The sequence below is a fragment of the Homo sapiens genome, chromosome 5 (assembly GCF_000001405.40).
Source record: "Homo sapiens chromosome 5, GRCh38.p14 Primary Assembly".
NCBI lineage: Eukaryota > Metazoa > Chordata > Mammalia > Primates > Hominidae > Homo > Homo sapiens.
The window spans coordinates 134,362,078-134,371,386 of record NC_000005.10 but is presented as its reverse complement, the minus strand read 5'-3'; the positions used below and the strand labels follow the sequence as shown (position 1 = coordinate 134,371,386).

The following is a 9,309-nucleotide window of genomic DNA, read 5'->3' as shown; positions in this document are numbered from 1 at the left end:
GGGAGGAGGGGGCGGGACGCGGGAGCGCGCCTTCCCCGAGCCCTTCAGCGGGGCGCGGTTCCCCCTGGGCTTCCTGAAGTAATAGACAAATTTGTGTTCTCTGTGTTCAGACTAGAGGTTGTGGATTCAAAGACCACGAAACAGAAACACTATCCCGTCTCCCTCCCCGTCACTAGTTTAGGCTCGGCGGGGTGGAGAAAGAGGGACGCATCCGGGCCAGAGATTTCAGGGAAAGGAGGTGGGATGATGTAAGATCACGTGACTGCCCGCGGCCTTGTCAACAATCCACCCCTGAGTGGGAGGGGGAGAAGTATCTAGAACCACGTGTCCCTATGACGCGTTTAGAACGGGTCACGTGAGCGCCTCGCCTGGATGTGAGTTTCAGCCAGGTCTGTGAAGCGGGTTTAAGAGGGTGAGGGCGGGATAAACCTTTATTAGTTGTTTTCTGTTTATCACAGGTATAGAGACAACATTACCCAAGAGGTCATGGCAGAATCAACAGCTTGTTTTGTTTTCTTTAAACCGGGACCAAAAATAATTCCCCTCTGGTTGGTTCAGTGGCTTATTAACTCTGGTACTTGGGGCAAGAAGAGTGAGAGGATCGCACGATCTTCTAAGGCAGCCTTGAATACTGAGGCCCACACAACAATCTCCTGAAATGGTTCCTTGAAGCTACCAGATAGTCTTTCTGCTTTGCAGTGGGGTTTCTAGTATTGGAAATTCTGGGCAAATATTAAAGGATGGTGTATTATGCAGTTTTTCCTTTCTGGGTCTGCTTTCAATTGAAGATATGTGTCAGAGTCCGGGGACTTGCCTATGGTGGGGGAGTACCATTGTATTTTTAAGGAATGTGGGGGTGCAGTCTTCCAAGCATATCAATGAGTGGTTGGTTGTCAAAGAAACCTACAAATATGATTCATATTCTGGGGGAGAGCTCCGGCAGACATGAGTGAGGGTTATATATCTAGCCTGAGATAACTTCAGGTTTTCTACACTAGCAAGAAAGGTGCAAATGGGCCAGAAGGGCCCCCCACCACCAGGGGGTTCAGAGGTGTTGACCTCCCAAAGACCTTGAATATTTTCTGTGGTCACCGTCCTTCCCTCTATTGCTTCCAATTCCTACCTTCAGGACTTTGTTATACTAAGGACTCTGAGTACTTTTGTATCCATTTGGGGAACTGTTCAGTTCAACAGGTAAAGGGAGGGTGGAATGAGGACCTTAACATTGCCTCAGCCTTGCCCCTGATTCCATGGAAGCAGAGTTAACTTTTCTGACTTTCCTTGTACCTCTTTCTTCAAACCCTGAATTCCCTCTCTGCTTCCAGTGACTGCCTTGGTGATCAGGTTAGCCAGGCCTAACTCTTGATAGGTCCTGTTAGACATTCGCAATGTGTTTTTTAAGTTAAAAGCTGAATATTCTTAATTTTTTTGCCTTTCTGCCATTGCAGTCCTAACCCTTCCAATAGCAAAGGAGGAAGACACACAGGTAGGGTTACATGGAGAAAAATGGTAAAGAGAAACTATATCTTAAAAATATCCCTCATGAGCTGGGGCATTAGCTCATGCCTGTAATCCTAATACTTTGGGAGGCCAGGAGTTGAAGACCAGCCTGGGCAACATAGGAGATCCTGTCTCTACAAAAAGTAAAATTAGCCAGGCATGGTGGCGCACACCAATAGTCCCAGCAACTCAGGAGGCTGAGGCAGAAGAATCGCTTGAGACGAGGAAGTTGAAGCTGCAGTGAGCCATCATCATGCCACTGAGACCCTGCCTCAAAAAAATCCCGCAACAACCAAAAAAACCCTTGTAATTTATCAGTCAAGGCAGTCACTGAAAGCAGAGACAGAATTCAGGGTTTGAAGAAAGGGAGGTACAAGGAAAGTGGGAAAAGTTAACCCTTTCTGGTTCCATGGAACTATGGGCAAGATTAGGGCAATGCTGAGGTCCTCCTCCTACCCCCTCTTTCCCTGTTGAGCTGACGAATGGATACAAAAGTGCTCAGAGTCCTCCTGACCCACCAACGAAGTCCTGAAGATGGGAACTGGAGGCAATAGAGGTAAGGAATTCAGAGACTACAGGGATTTATAATTGTTTTGGAAACAGTTTATTATTTTCCAAAATGATATAACACTTTTAACTGATTCAGTGAATGTGCATCATAAAGTCTTACAGCTGTGTATTAGCAAGAATCACTGGCTGTCCTTGTTAACCAGGCCTGCCATAACCTACTTGTAGAAGGAATAATTTTAAAGCTATTAACTGTATGCTGTTATCAGTTCTGTAGCTCTGGATTATGAGTTCATTGAGGGCAGGGACTCAGTTTGGTTCATCTTTGTCCTGGGCAAATTTTTTTATTTTTTGAGACAGAGTTTTGCTCTGTCACCCAGGTTGGAGTGCAGTGGTGTGAACAGGGCTCACTGCAGCCTTGACCTTCTGGGCTCCAGTAATTCTCCTTCAGACGCCCAAGTAGCTGGGACCACAGGTGTGCACCACCATGCCCGGCTAATTTTTTGTAGAGATGGAGTTTTGCCCTCTTGCCCAGGCTGGTCTGGAACTCCTGGGCTCAAGTGATCTGCCCACCTTGGCCTCCCTGGGATTACAGGTGTGAGCCACTGTGCGCAGCCTCCTTGCAAATATTTAGCCCACAACAAATAATATGCTTACACCAAGTTTGAGCCCACTATAAGATTTACTATGACATTCTTATTTATAGAAGGTATTTTATATTGTGGTTGAATAACTTTCTTTTTTTTTTTTTTTTTTTTTTTGAGATGGAGTCTCGCTCTGCCACCCAGGCTGGAATGTAGTGGTGCGATCTCCGCTCACTGCAAGCTCCGCCTCCCGGATTCACGCCATTCTCCTGCCTCCGCCTCCCGAGTAGCTGGGACTACAGGCGCCCGCCACCACGCCCAGCTAATTTTTTCTATTTTTTAGTAGAAATGGGGTTTCACCGTGTTAGCCAGGATGGTCTCGATCTCCTGACCTCGTGATCCGCCCGCCTGGGCCTCCCAAAGTGCTGGGATTACAGGCGTTAGCCACTGCGCCCGTCTGAATAACCTTCAAAGAAAAGACAATTCTGAATATTTTAGGTGATCAATGAAAACGATGACCACTTCTCCTTTCTCTCAATATAAACCCTAGCAGCATAGAAAAAACTTGAGAAGCTTCAAAAATACTAATTTATTTACGCTATCCCAATTAAATCAGGTGCTCTGGCATTGGGGCAGGGGTGTGGAGGTGGGGGTTGGGATGCTTTCTAAAAGCTCTCCAGGTGTGATTTAAATATGCATGCTGGGTGGGACCCACCAGACTAGATTTATTAAATAATGCCTTTCCTCTTATTTAGCGGAAGCATAGCGAGATTTCGCTTTTTTACATTTAACTCATTTTATAGAAGAAAGCAAAGAAAGCCCTATTCAATAAAGAAAGCACTCCCTAGGCACTTGGTCTAGTGATATGGTGGTTATTCATTAGGGACTGTCATTCCAGTTGAACTCTATGTCTACTTAAGCAGTTAGACACTGGCCTCTTTATTTCCGTGCTCTTGTACATCATTTCGTATATGGTGGAACTCTTCGAATTACTTGCTTTCCTAGAGTTTGACATGTGGTGAGGGAGGTTTTTTTTCTTTAAAAAAGATTACTAGCAGTTGGAAAAAATTAAAAGGCATATGGCAAGTGTTCAAGAAAAGTTTTTGATTTAAGAACCATCTTGACCGGGGGCGGTGGCTTACGCCTGTAATCCCAGCACTTTGGGAGGCCGAGGCAGGCGGATCACCTGATGTTGGGAGTTCGAGACCAGCCTGGCCAACATGGTAGAAACCCCGTCTCTACTAAAAATACAAAATTATCCGGGCGTGGTGGCACACGCCTGTAATCCCAGCTACTCGGGAGGCTGAGGCAGGAAAATCACTTAAACCTGGAAGGAGGAGGTTGCAGTGAGCCAAGATCAGCGACACTGCAGTCCAGCCTGGGCGACAGAGCTAGACTATCTCAAAAAAAAAAAAAAAAAAAAAAAAGATGCAGATCCTTCCTATCCACATTCAAAAGCAACCTTGTGAGGAGGCTCAGCTGCGACAGCAATCTGTACTCCCCTCCCCCATTCCCAAGCACAGCACTCTTCCACCTTGCGCCTACCCAGAGTAGGTTTCCGTTTCTTCCCACTTCCCCTTCCGGGTCGGGACCCTGCCCATGTTCCGGTCTTGCGCACGAGTCTAGAACGCAGCAACTCCGCCGGCGTTTCCATGGTGGCAAGTGGCCGGTTCCTTGCGGGGCTGAGCAACAAAGTAGTATCAGTGTTCGGTGGCTCCACTGGAACTACGCAGAGCCAGACCAGCGGGACCACAGAATGGGCTGAGGCGGCGGCGGCTGTTTGGATAAAGTCAACAGCGGGACGTGGGGCGTGACGCCGGTCCGGCATCCTAAGACGTGTGGTTTGAGTTGCGGGCGAGACCAGGCTTTTTTTAGGACCTTGGGCCTGATAAGTGGGCGACTGCAGTAGTGCGGGAACCTATTATTTGACAGGAACATGACAGGAAGTGTAGGGACCCCATGCTTGATGGATGGTGACTTATAGTGTGGTAGTCTCAGTGTTGATGGGCATGACCGAGACAGCAGGAGTACCCCTAAGTTCTGGTGAGAGGTGGAGCCTCAGAAGGACACCTTACTCAAGCTGTCTTTAGTTCCCAAAGACAAAAAGGCTCAGTGGAAAAGATTCCTTTTTTTTTTTTAATGTCTCTATATTTGAGACTGTGGGTTTATTGTGGATATGCATTATCTAGTTTTAATAAATAAAAGTATAAACGTTTAACATTTTCCATTTTCTTTCTTTATTTCTATAAAGTAGTAAAAGCCCAGCTTGAAAATGGAGATGTATGAAACCCTTGGAAAAGTGGGAGAGGGAAGTTACGGAACAGTCATGAAATGTAAACATAAGAATACTGGGCAGATAGTGGCCATTAAGATATTTTATGAGAGACCAGAACAATCTGTCAACAAAATTGCGATGAGAGAAATAAAGTTTCTAAAGGTTTGCTTCTTTTGCCTTAATCATCTAAGTCAAAAGAAAAAATTGTTATGGAATAAAAAATTGCATAAAATATTTTAGTTCACACGTACTGATTCATATTATGGAGAAACAAGTGTAATACTCTATCTTATCTACATTTTGTAATTTTATAGTGATACAAGATATATGTGTTTTGGGGTATGTAACAAAAGCTACACCAATATTGTTTAATAATTATTCAGAAATATTCAAGTATAATACTTAATAAAAATTTCTGCTATGTGCAAGGCATGGTGCTAGGTACTGAGACTATAAGGAGGTAAAAGATAGTTCCTGCCCTTAAAGACTTCTATAATTTAATCAGAAAGGAGAGTATATGAAAATCATACTGAATAAAAAGTGGCTCATAATAAATGCCAAGGAATCAACACAAAGTCCTTTCCCTGGTAGGGAAAGTTTTTTTGAGGAAATGGGACATGAATTTGGCTTTGAAGGATGTGGAGGGTTTAGATAAGAGGGAGAAACTGTTGTGTTCTAGGTTAGAGGAACAACATAAACTCAAAAGAGACTAAAGAAGGACAAAGGATAAAGGGCAAAGTGGAAAGGACAAAGAGCAAAGACATGTGCCTGTAGAGTTTTCTGAGCAGAATTGGAAAGAGGTATATTAGAACAGTAAATTGGAGGTAGATTTTAAAGTCTTTTAGGCTAAGGAGTCAAAACTTGATTTTGTAAGAGGTGGAAAGTCGTGAAGGTTTTGAATTCAGTGTAAAGAAATGTAAATTTTAATCTACCACTATTGTGCAGAATAGATTGGAGGACTAAGAGTAAAAATAGGTCTGTTAGGAGTTCAATTAAGGAATTTTGGAAAATGTCTGAGGACCCTTGCTAAAATGCAGCAATGTGAATGAAAAGTAAAGTTAGAACATGCTGTATTGTAAAAAACAAAAAAAAAAGACATGAGGCCGGGTGCGGTGGCTCACGCTTGTAATCCCAGCACTTTGAGAGGCCGAGGCGGGTGGATCACCTGAGGTCAGGGGTTCAAGACCGTCCTGGACAACATAGTGAAACCCCGTCTCTACTAAAAATTAAACAAAAAAAATTAAGGCCGGGTGCGGTGGCTCACGCTCCCAGCGCTTTGGGAGGCTGAGGCGGGTGGATCACGAGGTCAGGAGATCGAGACCATCCTGGCTAACGCGGTGAAACCCCGTCTTTACTAAAAAATACAAAAAATTAGCCGGGCGAGGTGGCGGGTGCTTGTGGTCCCAGCTACTGCGGAGGCTGAGGCAGGAGAATGGCGTGAACCCGGGAGGCGGAGCTTGCAGTGAGCCAAGACAGCGCCACTGCACTCCAGCCTGGGCGACAGAGCAAGACTCTGTCTCAAAAGAAAAGGAAAAAAAAAAAAAAAATTAGCCAGGCATAGTGTCGCGCCCCTGTAATCCCAGCTACTTAGGAGGCTGAGGCACGACAATCGCTCAAACCCAGAAGGTGGAGGTTGCAGTGAGCCGAGATCACGCCACTGCACTCTAGCCTGGGCGTCAGAGTGAGACTCCATCTCAAAAGAAAAAAAAAAAGGGCGCTGTGGCTCACGCCTGTAATCTCAGAACTTTGGGAGGCTGAGGCAGGCAGATCACCTGAGGTCAGGAGTTCGAGACCAGCCTGGCCAATGTAGTGAAACCCCCATCTCTACTAAAAATACAAAAATTAGCCGGGGATGGTAGTGCATGCCTGTAATCCCAGCTATTCGGGAGGCTGAGGCAGAAGAATTGCTTGAACCCAAGAGGAGGAGGTTGCAGTGAGCCGAGATCACACTATTGCAGTCCAGCCTGGGCAACAGAGCAACACCTTGTCTAAAAAAAAAAAGACATGAAAGAGTGTAGAAGACTATAGAAAGACTATAGAAGGAGTCAAAGGTCTCTGAGGTTCAGTGATTGATACAATTGATAGAAATACGAAAGACTCAAAAGAGACATGGTTTGGGAAGTACTTCAATTTTGGAAATGTTGAATTTGAGGTGACAGGAGTACATTTAAGTAAAGATTACCAGTAGGCTTTTAGAAATGAGGAACAATATCAGGAGAGATCAGGGAAGAAGACAGAATCCTATGTAGGTGTGACAGTTCAGCCCAGGAGAAACAACTGAGGAGTGTGGAGAAAGGAGCATTAACATTCCTTAGGGTTGGGGTAGAAAATTAATGATTTTAAAAATATTTAAATAAGTATGTATTCTATTTATTGGAATCTATTTACATCCTTTAAGGTTTATGATCTTGACGATATAGTATAGCTGTTTCATATGCAGCAGATGTTCTTGTTTGCTTTATCTGATACAAAAATAATATTTTCTTCTTTCTTTGTAAGTCTATATGAGATATGATGGATCAATTTGCCTTCTTTCTCTCTCTTTTTTTTTTTTTTTTTTTTTAAGAAATGGAGTCTCCCTGTTGCCCAGGCTGCAGCGCAGTGGCATGATCATAGCTCACTGCAGCCTCCATCACCTGGGCTTAAGCGATCTTCCTGTCTTGGACCTGTGAAAGAGCTAGGATTACAGGCATGAGCCACTGTGCCTGGCCTAATTTGAGGAAATATATTAGGCATCTGTGGATTATTAGAATGGCTCTACGCTGGGCGCGGTGGTTCACGCCAGTAATCCTAGCACTTTGGGAGGCCGAGGCGGGCGGATTGCCTGAGCTCAGGAGTTCGAGACCAGCCTGGGCAACATGGTGAAACCCTGTCTCTACTAAAACACAAAAAATTAGCCAGGCATGGCAGTGTGTGCCTGTAGTCCCAGCTACTCGGGAGGCTGAGGTAGGAGAATTGCTTGAACCCAGGAGGAGGAGGTTGCAGTGAGCTGAGATTGCGCCACTGCACTCCAGTCTGGGCGACAGAGTGAGACTCTGTCTCAAAAAAAAAAAAAAAAAAAAAGCCGGCCATGGTGGCAGGGGCCTGTAATCCCAGCTACACAAGAGGCTGAGGCAGGAGAATCACTTGAACCCGGGAGGCGGAGGTTTCAGTGAGCCGAGACCACGCCACTGCACTCCAGCCTGGGCAGCAGAGCGAGACTCCATCTCAAATAAATAAATAAATAGAACAGCTCTATTTCTAGACAATGAAAAGTGAGTCAGTAAAGATGTTATGATTTTGTGAAAGATATCAGTTCATGTCCTGATGACCTAAAACATAATACTATAGATAAGGCAATTGTGTACTGTGAATGAAAATCTGATTAGGAGATTTTTTTCCCCCAAGGCAGTATCTCTTGCTCTTTCTTCAACTGTTGCACTTAAATTGATTATTTTTTTTCTATTTAATCATTTTGGAAAACTAACCAGTATGTGACAATACAGAGATGAACTTGAATATGTGTTTTACTGTAACAACTGTTATGCAGATAATTTTGAGATACCCTAACTATTCTCATTGGCTTTTTGTTATTGTTGTTGTTATTGTTCTGAGACAGTCTTACTCTGTCTGTCGCCCAGGCTGGAGTGCAGTGGCACGATCCTGGCTCACTGCAACCTCTGCCTCCCAGGTTCAAGCAATTCTCATGCCTCAGCCTCCAAGTAGCTGGGATTACAGGCACGTACGACCACGCCCAGCTAATTTTTGTATTTTTAGTAGAGACGGGGTTTCACCATGTTGCCCAGGCTGATTTAGAACTCCTGGCTTCATGTGATCTGCCCACCTCAGCCTCCCAAAGTACTGAGATTACAGGTGTGAGCCACTGCACCTGGCACTCACTGGCTTTTTATAGGATTTTAAATTTGATGTAATCTAATTCCACTGGAGAGATTTCTTGGACTAGTTAATATTCTTAGTCTAAAAAACTTGTCATAATTACTTAATTCAAATTACTTTTTTTTTAGACAGAGTTTCACTCTTGTTGCCCAGGCTGCAGTGTAATGGCACAATCTCAGCTCACCACAACCTCGGCCTCCCGGGTTCAAGCGATTCTCCTGCCTCAGCCTCCTGAGTAGCTGGGATTACAGGCATGGACCATCATGCCAGGCTAATTTTGTATTTTTAGTAGAGACAGCGTTTCTCCATGTTGGTCAGGCTGATCTCGAACTCCCGACCTCAGGTGATCCGCCTGCCTTGGCCTACCAAAGTGCTGGGATTATAGAAGTGAGCCACCGGCCTGACCCAAACTAAATTTTTATGCTAGAATTTCATTAAATAAATTACAGTTAGAGTAATTAGTGAGAATATCTGTAGAAAAGTTGTCTAGTAATGGAGAAAAAATTAAACAACTTGAAGAGGGGTACTAGAGCATTTCTAGGGATTTCATTTCATGGTTTATCTGAG

General features: G+C 44.5%; 1 protein-coding gene across 26 annotated transcripts in view, besides 3 other annotated features; it reads left to right on the top strand.

The window, feature by feature from the left end:
- CDKL3 (cyclin dependent kinase like 3) overlaps nucleotides 1-9,309 on the top strand; it is an 88,280-nt gene that overhangs the window by 238 nt on the left and 78,733 nt on the right. For 10 of the 26 annotated variants that reach the window (XM_024446091.2, XM_017009532.2, XM_017009536.2 and 7 more), the window contains exon 1: nucleotides 4,216-5,028. The exons of 2 other annotated variants lie outside the window; for them this stretch is intronic. In XM_024446091.2, coding sequence (XP_024301859.1) covers nucleotides 4,864-5,028 — 165 coding nt within the window. In that variant the 5' untranslated portion in view covers nucleotides 4,216-4,863. Of the gene's footprint in view, nucleotides 1-343; nucleotides 390-4,215; nucleotides 5,029-9,309 lie in introns of those variants that run through there. 14 more of the 26 variants (NM_001349366.2, NM_001349365.2, NM_001349364.2 and 11 more) reach the window with 5 other exon arrangements.
- Nucleotides 6-55: a silencer, noted in NCBI's record as "silent region_16357". NCBI's record gives its function as "represses an Ori minimal core promoter by ATAC-STARR-seq in GM12878 lymphoblastoid cells {active_cell/tissue: GM12878}" and the evidence as "EXISTENCE:reporter gene assay evidence [ECO:0000049][PMID:35858748]".
- Nucleotides 104-699: an enhancer, noted in NCBI's record as "NANOG-H3K27ac-H3K4me1 hESC enhancer chr5:133706379-133706974 (GRCh37/hg19 assembly coordinates)". NCBI's record gives its function as "activates a minimal SCP1, AML or CMV promoter by ChIP-STARR-seq in naive H9 embryonic stem cells {active_cell/tissue: H9 hESC(naive)}" and the evidence as "EXISTENCE:reporter gene assay evidence [ECO:0000049][PMID:30033119]".
- Nucleotides 526-595: an enhancer, noted in NCBI's record as "active region_23142". NCBI's record gives its function as "activates an Ori minimal core promoter by ATAC-STARR-seq in GM12878 lymphoblastoid cells {active_cell/tissue: GM12878}" and the evidence as "EXISTENCE:reporter gene assay evidence [ECO:0000049][PMID:35858748]".